This window comes from Homo sapiens, chromosome X (assembly GCF_000001405.40).
Source record: "Homo sapiens chromosome X, GRCh38.p14 Primary Assembly".
Taxonomy (NCBI): domain Eukaryota; kingdom Metazoa; phylum Chordata; class Mammalia; order Primates; family Hominidae; genus Homo; species Homo sapiens.
Window position 1 is genome coordinate 70,952,780 of NC_000023.11, and position 14,812 is coordinate 70,967,591.

Consider the following 14,812-nt stretch of genomic DNA (forward strand, 5'->3'; position numbering starts at 1 on the left):
TGTGGTAGCACGTGCCTGTAGTCCCAGCTACTTGCAAGTGTGAAATGGGAAGATTGATTGAGCTCATGAGGTGGAGTTTGCAGTGAGCCAAGATCACACCACTGCACTCCAGCCTTGGTGATGGAGTGAGATCCTATCTCAAAAAAAAAAAAAAAAAAAAAAAAACCCACCATTTTTCAATATAACAAACTGATGGCCAGAGTATGAGGAAATAGATACTCCCTTATATTACTGGTGAAACCATCAATAGAGGGCAATTTGGCAACATCTATTAAAGTTATTTATATTCATACAATTTGACCCAACAAAAGAAATTTGTCTTACAGATATACTAGCAATATATAAAGGGTTATTAATAGCAGCATTGTTTTTAATGGCAAAGTATTTCAAATGACCTAAATGTCAACCAGTATGGAACTAGTTAAATAAAGTATGGTTCTTTCAGTGTAATACAGTGGAGTTATTTTTAAAATGGGGGAGATTCCACTTCCAAATGTCAGTGTGAGGAGCTCCACAGATCCACTCCCCTGTGAAACTCCCTAGTTGGTAAAAATTACTTACTTACACACACACACACACACACTTAAACTCTCTGGAAATTGCCCTAAGGGCATAGAGCAAATGAAGAAATATTTATGCAAGAAAACCTACTAAATCACAGTAAGAAGAAGAGTCTGGGATACTTGAGCAATGACCCACACACTACCCGACCCCAGTTCAGCATGATGGAAACTCCACTCCACTCCAGGCAGATATAACCAAGAAGACAGGACATCCTCTCCTGCTTGATCCCGGTCAAAGGCTATAATATCTCCCCAGGAAAGGCAGACCTCCAGCATTTCTCAACCACCCCAGCTCCAGCAGGAGAAGCTAAATTCCTGGCAATTCAGGCCAAGAGGGCTGCCCTCCTCCACCCACCCCCCACTCATAGGTCAGAGGCTCTACTCAGGTGCAGCAGGACAAAAATACTGCAGCCCTGATGGCCCTTGTCCCAGCTGCCTTAAAGGGCAGAGGTTCTACACTGGCAAGCCAATAAGACTACAGGCTACTGGCCTTTCCCAATGCTCTGCTAATTAAACACAGGTGACATTCCAAGAAGAACAAGCCAGTGTCCCCACCCCATTTCCAGAGTAGAGGCTCAGAGATGTAGCCTGTAGGGGAAGAAGCAATGCTCAAGAACTATTTTTATTTTTCATTTTCTTTGAAATGGAGTTTTCTTCTTGTTGCCCAAGCTGGAGTGCAATGGCGCCATCTTGGCTCACTGCAACCTCTGCCTCCCGGGTTCAAGCAATTCTCCTGCCTCAGCCTCCCGAGTAGCTGGGGTTACAGGTGCCCGCTGCCACGCCCAGCTGATTTTTATATTTTTAGTAGTAGAGATGGGGTTTCACCATGTTGGCCAGACTGGTCTTGAACTCCTAACCTCAGGTGATCCACCCGCCTCTGCCTCCCAAAGTGCTAGGATTACAGGTGTGAAGCACTGCACTCGGCCAAGAACTATTTTTGAAAACCACAACTGGCCTCATGCAGTGGCTTATGCCTGTAATCCCAGCACTTTGGGTGACCAAGGTGGGCGGATCACAAGGTCAGGAGTTCAAGACCAGCCTGGCCAACAAGTTCAACCCCATCTCTACTAAAAATACAAAAATTAGCCCGGTGTGGTGGCGGGCACCTGTAATCCCAGCTACTAGCGGGGCTGAGGCAGGAGAATTGCTTGAACCTGGGAGGCAGAGGTTGCAGTGAGCCGAGATCATGCCCCTGCACACAGCCTGGGTGACAGAGAAAGACTGTCTCAGGAAAAAAAAAAAAAAAAAAAAAAAAAAAAGCAAAAAGCACAACTAACATACTTTAATGGTCAAAAGTTTGTTGGCCGGGCATGGTGGCTGATGCCTGTAATCCCAGCACTTTGGGAGGCTGAGGTGGGTGGATCACGAGGTCAAGAGTTCAAGACCAACTTGGCCAAGATGGTGAAACCCCGTCTCTACTAACAATACAAAAATTAGCCGTGCACGGTGACAGGCACCTGTAATCCCAGCTACTCGGGAGGCTGAGGCAGGAGAATCACTTAAACCTGGGGTGGGGGCGGTGGCGGAGGTTGCAGTGAGCTGAGATTACGCCACTGCACTCCAGCCTGGGAGGCAGAGTGAGAATCCGTCTCAAAAAAACAAAAAAAAAGTTAAATGTTCTTCTCCTAAGATCAAGAACAAGACAAGAATGTCCACTCATGCCACTTCTATTCCTCATTGTACTAGAAGTTCTAACCAGGGCAATTAGGCAAGATAACTAAATATTTGGTTGGTGCAAAAGTAATTGCGGTTTTGCCATTACTTTTAGTAAAAGGCACCTTGATTGAAAAGGAAGAAGTAAACTATCTCTATTTGCAGATGACATGATCTTGCATATAGAAAATCCCAAAAAATCCACTAAGAACCAATAAAACTAATAAACAGGTTCATCCAGGTTGTGAGGTACAAAATCAATATACAAAAATCAATTGTATTTCTATACAGAATCAATAAACAAACTAAAAATGAAATAAAAAATAATTCCATTCATAACAGCATCAAAAAGAATTAAATGCTTTGGAATAAATTTATCAAAAGAAATGTAAAACTTACTCTGAAAACTACAAAGCATTGTTAAAAGAAATTGAAGACCTAAATAAATGGAAAAATATGACATGTTCATGGATCAGAAGACTTGATATTGTTAAGATGGCAATACTCCCTAAATTGATCTACAGACTTAGAGCAACAGCCATCGAAATTCCAATTGGCTTCTTTGCAGAAACTGGTAAAGTGATCCTAAAATTTGTTTGGAAATTTGAGAGCCCCAGAATAGTCAAAACAGTTTTGAAAAATATGAACAAAGTTGGAGGACTCACACTTCCCAATTTCAAAACTTACTACAAAGCTACAGTAATCTATACAATGTGATACTACCATAAGGACAGACAGATCAACGGAATACAGTTCAGAGTCCAGAAATAAACGCTCTCATTTAGAGTCAATTGGTTTTTGACAAGGGTGCCAAGACAATGCAATAGGAGAAAGAGTAACCTTTTAAACAAATGGTGGTGGGACAATTAGATCTCCACATAAAAAAGAATGAAGCTGGACCCCCTTACCTCACACTGTATACAAAAACTAACTGAAAATGGATCAAAGACCTAAATATAAGCACCAGAAGTATAAAACTTTTATAAGCAAACATAGGTATAAATCTTCATGACCTTGGATTTGGCAATGGATTCTTAGATATGACACCAAAACCACAAGCAACAGAATTTAAACAATAGATAAACTGGACATCATGAAAATTTAAAACTTTTTTATTTTTATTTTTGAGATGGAGTCTCACTCTGTTGCCCAAACTGGAGTGCAGTGGCACAATCTTGGCTCACTGCAACCTCTGCCTCCTGGGTTCAAGTGATTGTCCTGCCTCAGCCTCCCAAATAGCTAGGACTACAGGTATGCGCCACCACCCCCGGCTAGTTTTTTTTTGTATTTTTAGTAGAGACAGAGTTTCACCATGTTGGTCAGGCTGGTCTCCAACTCCTGACCTCAAATGATCCGCCCGCCTCGGCCTCCCAAAGTGCTGGGATTACAGGCGTGAGCCACCGTGCCCGGCCGAAAATTAAAAACTTTTGTTCTTCAAAGAATATCATCAAGAAAAGACAACCCATGGAATAGGAGAAAATATTTGCAAATGATATATCTGATCAGAGATGTGTCTCTAGAATATATTTAATATATATAGAATATATTTAAAACTAGATATCTAGAATATATATATAGAGAGAATGCATTTTTTTACTATTATCAAAAAAAAAAAACAGAAAATAACAAGTGTTGGAAAAGATGTGAAGAAATGGGAACCCTTGTGCATTGCTGCTGGGAATATAAAATTGTGCAACCACTGTGGAAAATAAAATGGCAATTCCTCAAATAATTAAGCACAGAATTACCATATTATCCAGCAATCTCACTTCTGTGTATATACCCAAAATAAGTGAAAGCTGGGACTTGAACAGATATTTGTACACCCATGTTCATATCAGCAAATCAAAAGGTGGAAGCAACTCAAGTGCTCATTGACAGATAAATAGATAAATTAAATGTAGTATATTCATACAATGGAATATTACTCAGCCCTTAAAAGGAAGGAAATATGGACACATGCTACAACTCGAAGATAAAACTAGATAAAAGTCGAAGACATTATGCTAAAGGAAATAAACCAGTAACAAAAGGACAAATATCATATGATTCCTCTTATATGAGGTTCCTAAGAGTAGTCAAATACATAGAGACAGAAAGTAGAATGGTAGTTGCCAGGAGCTGCGGAGAGGAGGGAATGGAAAGTTAGTATTTTTAATGGATACAAAGTTTCAGTTGGGAAGATGAAAAAGTTCTGGAAATGGATGGTGATGATGGTTGCACAACAATGGAATGTACTTAACGCCATAGAACTGTATATTTAAAAATGGTTTAAATGGTAAATTTTATATTGTGTATACTTTACCACAATAAAAATAAGATGATGCAATTTTAAAATAGGCAAAGCATCTAAATAGACATTTCTTCAAAGAAGATATGCAAATAACCAACAAGAACAGGAAAAGATGGTCAATATCACTAGTCAACAGAAAAATCCAAATCAGAGCCACAGTGAGATACCACTTCACACTCACTAGGACTGCTACGATCAAAAAGACAGATAATAAAAAGTATTGATGAAGATTTCGTTAATTGAAACCCTCATACACTACTGGTGGGAATGTAAAATAGTACAGCCTCTGCAGAAAACAGTTTGGCAGTTCCTCGAAAGGTTAAACATAGGACTACCATATGACCCAGCAATTCTACTCCTAGGTATATACTCAAGAAAAATAAAAACAGATGTTCACAAAAAATTTGTACACCAATATTGATAGCAACATTATTAATAATAGCCCAAAATAGAAACCACTCAAATGTTCATCAGTTGATGAATGGATAAATAAAATGTGGTATGTCCATACAATCAAATATTATTCAATATAAAGTAATAAAATACTAATACATGTCACAACATGAACTTTAAAAACTATATGCTAAGTGAAAGAAGTCAGTCACAAAAAACCACATACTCTACAATTGCATTTATATGAAATGTCCATAATAGTCAAATATATAGAGACAGGAAGTAGATCAATGGCTGCCAGGGGCTGAGAGGTTTGGGAGGAAATGAGGAATGATTGCTCATGGGTATAGGTTTCTTTTTGAGGTGATAAAAATGTTCTAAAATTGATTGGTGTGCCAGGTGTAGTGGCAAGGGGCCTGCAGTCCCAACTACTCAGGAGGCTGAGGTGGGAGGATTGCTTGAACCCAAGAGCTGGAGGCCAGCCTGGCCAACATAGAGGGATCCTGTCTCCAGAAAAAGAAAATAAAATAAAATTAGGTGTTGTGATGGTTGCACAACTCTGTGAATATACTAAAACCTAGTAAATTGTACTCTTAAGTAGGTGAATTGCATGGTATATGAATTATAGCACAATCAAGCTGTGTTTTTTGTTGTTGTTGTTTGTTTGTTTTGTTTGTTTTTGTTTGTTTGTTTGTTTGAGACAGAGTCTTGCTCTGTCTCCCAGGCTGGAGTGCAGTGGCATGATCTCGGCGTACTGCAACCTCTGCCTCCCAAGTTCAAGCGATTTTTCCCGCTCAGCTTCCCAAGTAGCTGGGATTACAGGTGCACGCAACCATGCCCGGCTAATTTTTGTATTTTTTTTTAGTAGAGACGGGGTTTCACCATGTTAGCCAGGCTAGTCTCGAGCTCCTGACCTCAGGTGATCCGCCCCCATCAGCCTCCCAAAGTGTTGGGATTACAGGCATGAGCCATCGCACTGGGCCAAGCTGTGTTTTTTTAAAGATATGGGTGAAATTATTTTAAACGAGGGAGCTCTTTAGGTTTAGAGATACATATATCCAATCGATAGAAAGACATAGATATAGATATATAGATCTCCAATACATATTGTTAAGTGAAAAGAGATGTAAGGCAGCATGTAAGAAATGTACCATTTCTAAGCCAGGCGCTGTGGCTCACTCCTGTAATCCCAGCATTTTGGGAGGCTGAGGCGGGTGGATCACCTGAGGTCAGGAGTTCGAGACCAACCTGGCTAACATGACAAAACCCCGTCTCTACTAAAAATACAAAAATTAGCCAGGCATGGTGGCAGGAGCCTGTAATCCCAGCTACTTGGGAGGCTGAGGCAGGAGAATCGCTTGAACCTGGGAGGCGGAGGTTGCAGTAACCTGAGATCACGCCATTGCAATCCAGCCTGGGCAACAAGAGTGAAACTCCATCTCAAAAAAAAAAAAAAAAAAAAAAATTCCATTTCTCTAAAAAGGAGGAAAAATTCTATATACATGCACAATTGCTTATATATGAATAGTTTATCTCTACAGCTTTTCTCAACAAGTGTTCAAAGAACAAAGCCCTAAAGAAAATTATTTTTGTGGCTATTTTCTAATTCCTCCAAGAACTGCACATAACTAATGCCATTCTAGATGCATAGGAGATAAGTTTATTCATTACACACAATGGATGCCAGAGGGCATCAGGCCTGGGCTGCAAAAGAATACCAAAGTAACTGAAAATCCTGGTTGCCACTGGAATAAGGATGGGAAGGAATTTTTTTTCCTAGTATGCCCTTTCACACCTTATGAATTTTGACCCAAAAAACAAATATTAATTTTAAAAATTTTAATTGAAGTTTATCTATGAAAAAGGAACAAAATAGATTTAACTAAAGGTGGATATAGAATTAATGAAGTCTCAGAGGCCGGGCGCGGTGGCTCACGCCTGTAATCCCAGCACTTTGGGAGGCCGAGGCGGGCGGATCACGAGGTCAGGAGATCGAGACCATCCTGGCTAACACGGTGAAACCCCATCTCTACTAAAAATACAAAAAATTTCCAGGCTTGGTGGCACGTGCCTGTAGTCCCAGCTACTTGGAAGGCTGAGGCAGGAGGAGAATCGTTTGAACCCGGGAGGTGGAGGTTGCAGTGAGCTGAGATCGCGCCACTGCACTCCAGCCTGGGCGACAGAGCGAGACTCCGTCTCAAAAAAAAAAAAAAAAAAGAATTAATGAAGTCTCATTTCTTCTCACAAGACTGTGGCTACTAAAGCATGTTTACTGGCTGCGGCTGAGAATCTAGTGGAGATGGAAAAGTTGAAGATAAAAGAAAGAAGAAAAAATAATATCGACCTAGCCATGTGCCTGTAGAGATGGGAAGATATAGTACTCCAAGCACACACAAATGTAACTAAATGGTGTGGTAGGGGAGCTGGTATTTGGCTTTAATTTTCAGGACATCTTCAGAGTGGGAGGATAGAGAAGGCAGCCTAAGAGAGGTGAAGGAAGTTTGAAAGAGCATCTATGGGGAATGGGAGCAAAAGGTGCCTAGTTATAGTAAAAGGTCTGCTAGGTCATTGTGGTTCCACTGTATTTCAAAGGCGGCAGAGGGTCATGCATTTCACTTGAGGCTTCACATCTGAGTAGAGCCACTGCAAACTACAGTGCAAGTTCAAGTTAAGGCAACTAAGATGGGACGTTTTTGGGAAACCTTGTAACATGGGGACTGGCTAAAGAAGTTAGAACTATTGAACTTGAATAAAATGAATCTAAAACGAGGCATGTGAGAAAAAGGCCACAGATAATAGCCAAATATGTGATGGTTTGCCATATAAAACAAGACAGAATTAGGAGATCATCTAGCTCTAAAATTCTGTGATTTCTCTTCCCAAACAGACAATAAACAATCACTGGTTGTTGAATGAATGTATATAAGTACTGAAAACAGACTGGAGAGATGGGAAGGGTCATAATGCAGTGGATTAAGGAGTGAATGGAAAAGAAGGAAAAAAAAGAGCAAATGCAGACTACTCTTCTGAGAAGCTAGGCTATAAAGGAAAAGAGAAAATGAAATTTAGCTAAACAGAAATGCAGAATTCAGGAAGAGAAGAATGATAATATCTAATAGCATATTTCATTGATTCAAAGATGCACATTTCTTCATGTTTTTAAAATTTCTGAAATTGGGACGCATCTTACAATTAATGGAATCTCACGTTTGCTGTCGGCTAGCAGCAGTTGTGATGTAGTTGTCATTGCCTGACACCTTCTGGTAAGATCAAAAAAGCACCAGCGTCAAAACTTGCATAATAGATGTCAGCAACTTAGAAGAAAACAATAATAGGACACAATTTTTTCCCCCGGAAATCCTCAGTGTTCTTAATGACAAAGAGAATAATATTTTATGGAAAACTCAGAACATGTTGACTGAGTCAAACAGTAATTCGAAGTCAGATCTCCAAATGTAAAAATATTTTAGAAATACTTTAACCAGTTTTATTTATTTCCTTTCAATGTTCCTTGCAACATATGCAGGATAGTGATATATGATAAAAATCCATTTCTAAATAAGTCTTTTAAAAAAAAGAGAGAGACAGTGTTTTGCCATGTTGCCTAGGCTGGTCTCAAATTCCTGGGACCAAGCAACCCATTCGCTTCAACCTCCCAAAGTGCTGGGATTACAGGCATGAGCCACCGTGCCCAGCTCCTAAACAAGTCTTAAACAGAACCTACAATAATTATAAAATATAAATTCTAGATGCTAAAATTGTCTTGTGTTATAATTTATTTATTTACTTAGAGACTGCATCTCTCTCTGTCATGCAGGCTGGAGGGCAGCTGGCACAAGCATAGCTCACTGCTGCCTTGAACTCCTGGCCTCAAGAGAATCTCCTGCCTCAGCCTCCCAAAGTGCTGGGAACACCGTGCCCAGCCTTGTGTTATAATTTAGTTGGCAGTATTTTGTTCTTTATTAACGGTGCATAAAATATGGGTGCATCTTATAGTCAATGATTTTCAGATTAGATGAAATAAAATAATACTACATCTTGAACAATATCTATCAAAGTACCATATTAGTAGGTGCAAAAATGCTCATTTATTAGGCATTAACATATTCATTCAACAAATATTCACAGAGCATTTACTACATACCAGGTACTGGATGCTGAACATAAAATGGTCAATAATGCATAGTTCTATAGTTCTCATTCTTATGAGCTTAATCACTAGGTAGGACAGTGGCTCCCAAATTGGTCCCTCAGAATTAGTTCCTCAAGATACTTCCAGAAAAAATAGTTCTATGGTCAGATTAATCTGAGAAATGTCACATACTAAGTTCACTTCTTCACAATGTAATTATCACATTAAAGGCTTTTTAAAAATCCTGTGGTAAAGGAGGTTGCTTAATTTGGTTTCACCCTACATATTCCAAACTTATTAATGATGTAAACCCAGATTCAGAATTGTGATACATAATATAAAAAGAGCTCCTACAAATCTATGGGAAAAAGACAAACAATATACGCAAAGGACATCAATAGGCAACCAACGGAAAAAAAATTGGTTAATGACCAATATATCTGAAAAAAACGCTCAACTTCACTCACAATTAAGAAATACAAATTAAAACAATGAGTGAGCCAATTTTTCCTCATCATATTGGCAAAGATGAAAAAAGATTAATGATAATGTGTTGTGAAGATGTAGGGAAGAAATTTCCACTTTTTGCTGTTTTGAGTGTGTGAAGGGGATCAATGTTTTAAGAGAATGATTTGGCAATATCTACCAATTTTACTTCTATGAATTTATCTTATAGAAATACTTGCACAGGTGCCCAAAGATTTACGTACAAAAGATGTCCACTATAACATTGCTTGAATAGTGAAAAACTGGAAAGAACCCAAATGTCCATCACCTGGGCATTTAATAAACTATATTACATCCACACAAAGGTCTACTATAAAGCCATTATAAAGATAAGAGAGTTCTAAATGAAGATGTCTGATTGAAGATGTCTGATTAAAGATATGTGCTTATCTCCCTCCCTTTTGACATCCCATTAAAATGGTAATAAAAGAATAAGCCCTTAAGAGTGAAGAAAATGGGCTTAACAAATTTTTGGAAGATTGGAAGTGTGTCAACTGATGAAACAGAATGGAACAAGCCAACGTGCCTGGCAGAATCCCAGAGAGGTTCCTGTTTCAGAGCTAGGAAGTGCTCAAGGTCAAAATAAGAAGGGAGTCCGAAAACTAGGGGGTGAACTGAAAACCTGTGAAAGAAGTGCCCCCCAGCCCTAAAGGCCAACCCTTTTGGAGGTGCTTATCATGCAAAAGGAATCGTGCTGGAAAAAGTAGGAGTTGAAGCCAAACAGCCAAATTCTGCCATTAGGAAGTGTGTAAGGGTCCAGCTGATCAAGAATGGCAAGAAAATCACAGCCTTTGTACCCAACGACGGTTGCTTAAACTTTATTGAGGAAAATGATGAAGTTCTGGTTGCTGGATTTGGTCGCAAAGGTCATGCTGTTGGTGATATTCCTGGAGTCCGCTTTAAGGTTGTCAAAGTAGCCAATGTTTCTCTTTTGGCCCTATACAAAGGCAAGAAGGAAAGACCAAGATCATAAATATTAATGGTGAAAACCCTGTAGTAATAAATTTTCATATGCCAAAAAAAAAAAAAAAAGAAGTGCCCCCATTGGCTCCTTATGATCCCCCCACCCATCATCCCCATATTTAGCATAGTTAGCCCAATCTTTATCTCCTAGCCAAAAAAAAAGGAGGGAAGGGAAGGGAAGGGAAGGGAGAAAAGAAAAGGAAAGAAGAGAAAAGAAAGAAAAGAAAAGGAAAGAAAGGAAAGGAAAGGAAACTGGAGGACTCAACAGAAATAGAATAAGCTGCCTAAAGAAAACTAAGGATCATGTAGGTGCTAGTGCCACAGAGCAAAATAAAATTCTTCCTAATTTGGCATTTGAGGGCCTCCAGCCTAAAGGCAGCTTCCCTAACCTAAGTCTAAAAGAGAAAGTCATATGTAGAAAGCTGAAACTGGATCCCTTCCTTACACCTTATACAAAAATTAATTCAAGATGGATCAAAGACTTACATGTTAGACCTAAAACCATAAAAACCCTAGAAGAAAACCTAGGCATTACCATTCAGGACATAGGCATGGGCAAGGACTTCATGTCTAAAACACCAAAAGCAATGGCAACAAAAGCCAAAATTGACAAATGGGATCTAACTAAACTAAAGAGCTTCTGCACAGCAAAAGAAACTACCATCAGAGTGAACAGGCAACCTACAAAATGGGAGAAAATTTTCACAACCTACTCATCTGACAAAGGGCTAATATCCAGAATCTACAATGAACTCAAACAAATTTACAAGAAAAAAACAAACAACCCCATCAAAAAGTGGGCAAAGGATATGAACAGACATTTCTCAAAAGAAGACATTTATGCAGCCAAAAGACACGTGAAAAAATGCTCATCATCACTGGCCATCAGGGAAATGCAAATCAAAACCACAATGAGATACCATCTCACACCAGTTAGAATGGCAATCATTAAAAAGTCAGGAAACAACAGGTGCTGGAGAGGATGTGGAGAAATAGGAACACTTTTACGCTGTTGGTGGGACTGTAAACTAGTTCAACCATTGTGGAAGTCAGTATGGCGATTCCTCAGGGATCTAGAACTAGAAATACCATTTGACCCAGCCATCCCATTACTGGGTGTATACCCAAAGGACTATAAATCATGCTGCTATAAAGACACATGCACATGTATGTTTATTGTGGCACTATTCACAATAGCAAAGACTTGGAACAAACCCAAATGCCCAACAATGATAGACTGGATTAAGAAAATGTGGCACATATACACCATGGAATACTACACAGCCATAAAAAAGGATGAGTTCATGTCCTTTGTAGGGACATGGATGAAATTGGAAATCATCATTCTCAGTAAACTATCACAAGGACAAAAAACCAAACACCGCATGTTCTCACTCATAGATGGGAATTGAACAATGAGAACACATGGACACAGGAAGGGGAACATCACACTCTGGGGACTGTTGTGGGGTGGGGGGAGGGGGGAGGGATAGCATTAGGAGATATACCTAATGCTAAATGACGAGTTAATGGGTGCAGCACACCAACACGGCACATGTATACATATGTAACTAACCTGCACATTGTGCACATGTACCCTAAAACTTAAAGTATAATAATAATAAAAAATAAATAAAAAATAAAAAAATAAAAGAGAAAGTCGCTAGTCACAAGTCCTGACCAGTTACACAGATGTCTTAGTTAGACTCCCTATCCAGGGGAAAACCCCAGTGAGAAAATGGATCTGCATATATAAAGTAGAGAAACCTGTATCAACTACCTATTGCTTCATTTTTAAATATGAAGAAACAAAGACTACCAGAAATATGAAGAAAAATAGCATATAAAAAGAAACGCCAAGATAAACAAGCAGAATTTACCTGGAGGGAACAGAGATACTTCAGAGTAGATTGCAAGGATCTAATAAGATCAAAGGAGGGGAAAAAGTCCACACCTAGACACTATATCACTTTACACTATCAGGAATAAAAAGAAAATTGTAACTGCTTCCAGAAAGGAAAAGTAGGTCACTCATAAAGAAATAAAAAGCAGATTTCTCATTAACAACACCGGATGTGAGACCACTTTAAAATTCTGAGGGAAAATTACTCTGAAGTTAGAATTAAAAACCTATCCAAAGCCGGGCACGGTGGCTCACGCCTGTAATCCCAGCACTTTGGGAGGCCGAGGCAGGTGGATCACAAGGTCAAGAGATCAAGACCATCCTGGCCAACATGGTGAAACCCCATCTCTACTAAAAATACAAAAATTAGCTGGGCGTGGTGGTGCACGCCTGTAGTCCCAGCTACTCGGGAGGCTGAGGCAGGAGAATCACTTGAACCTGGGAGGCAGACATTGCAGTGAGCCAAGATCGCGCCATTGCACTCCAGCCTGGCGACAGAGCGAGACTCCATCTCAAAAAAATTAATAAAAAATAAAAAAAAAACAGCCAAATCATCATAAGCATGTACTCTAACAAAACCTGGGTAAATGCAAGAAAGGAAAAAACATGGGAAGCAAGAAATAGTGGATAACTCGTAAATCCAATGAGAGAAAAGTTCTAAGGTTAAAAATTATAAAGTAGGTCTGAAAAGCAATCAGTCCAATTTAGAATAAGAAACCAGTGCTACAGATCTGAACAGACATTTCTCAAAAGAAGACATACAAATGGCCAATAGGTATATGAAAAAATCCTCAACATCACTACTCATCAGGGAAATGCAAATCAAAGCCACAGTGAGATATCATCTCAGCTAGAATGACTATCACTAAAAAGACAAAAAATATCAAATGCTGGTGAAAATACAAAGAAAAGATAACTCTTACACGCTGTCAGTGGGAATGCTAACTAGTATAGCCATTATGGAAAACAGTATGGAAGTTTCTCAAAAAACCAAAAATAAAACTACCATACAACCCAGCAATCCCACTACTGGGTATCAAAAGGAAAGGAAATCACACATATCAAAGGCATATGTGCACCCCCATATTTATTGCAGCACTATTCACAATGACCAAGATATGGAATCAACTTATGTCCATCAACAGATGAATGGCAGATGAATGGATAAATAAAATGTGGTATATATACACAGTGGAATACTATCTATCCCTAAAAAATAATGAAATCCTGTCATTTGCAGCAACATGGATGGAACTGGAGGAATACATTATATTGAGTGATTTAAGTCAGGCACAGAAAGACAAATATCACAGGTTCTCATTCATATTTGGGAGCTGGAAAAATTGATGTCATGGTGATAAAGAGTAGAATGATAGTTACCAGAGACTGGGAAGTGTATGGGAAGGGAATGAAGAGAGACTAGTTAGTGGGTACAAACACCATTAGAAGGAGTAAGTGCTAGTGTTCCATAGCATAGTAGGGTGACTATGGTTAATAATATATTGTATATTTCAAAATAGCTAGAAGAGAAGATTTGAAATGTTCCCAACACAAAGAAATGACAAATGTTCAGGGCGACAAATGTCCTGAATATCCTGATTTGATCATTATGCATTGTATGCATGTGTCAAAATATCAAATGTACCCCCAAAATATGTACAAATATTATGTATCAATTAAAAAAGAAACCAGTGCTATAGAAAGAATGTCTTCAAGAAGAATGAAATAGGCCAGGTGCAGTGGCTCATGCCTGTAATCCCAGCACTTTGGGAGGTTGAGGTAGGAGGATCACTTGAGCTCAGGAGTTCAAGACCAGCCTAGGCAATATAGTGAGACCCCCTTTCGATTAAGAAAAAAGAAGAAGAAGAATGAAATAGATTCCAACCAATGAGTAGACTGAGTAAGAAGCTGGAAAATATTAATGATGTGAAGAAGTCAGCTGGGCATGGTAGCTCATGCCTGTAATCTCAGTACTTTGGGAGGCCGAGGTGAGAGGATCACTTGAGCCAGGAGTTCAAGACAAGTCTGGGCAACATAGTGAGACTCTGTCTCTACCAAAAAAAAAAAGAAAAGAAAGAAAGAAATTAGCTGAGTGCTGTGGCATGTGCCTGTAGTCCCAGCTAATCAGGAGGCCAAGGTGGGGGGATCACTTGAGCCCGACAGGTGGAGGCTGTAGTGAGCCATGATCGTGCAACTGCACTCCAGCCTGGGTGACAGAGTGAGACTCTGTATCAGAAAAAAAAAAAGAAGAAGAAGAAGTCATGTCTCTTTTCTCAAAAAGAAAATACAAAAGGCAATTAGAAACTCCAGGAAAAACAAATAAATAAAAACTATACCAGAAAATAATGACAGAAATATGAAACAAAATTTCCATTCCTGATAATATGGTGGATTAGGATCTGCAC

The 14,812-nt window shown here is 39.2% G+C and overlaps 1 pseudogene; it reads left to right on the forward strand.

Moving 5' to 3' along the window:
- On the forward strand, positions 10,157 to 10,563 carry RPS23P8 (ribosomal protein S23 pseudogene 8; annotated as a pseudogene).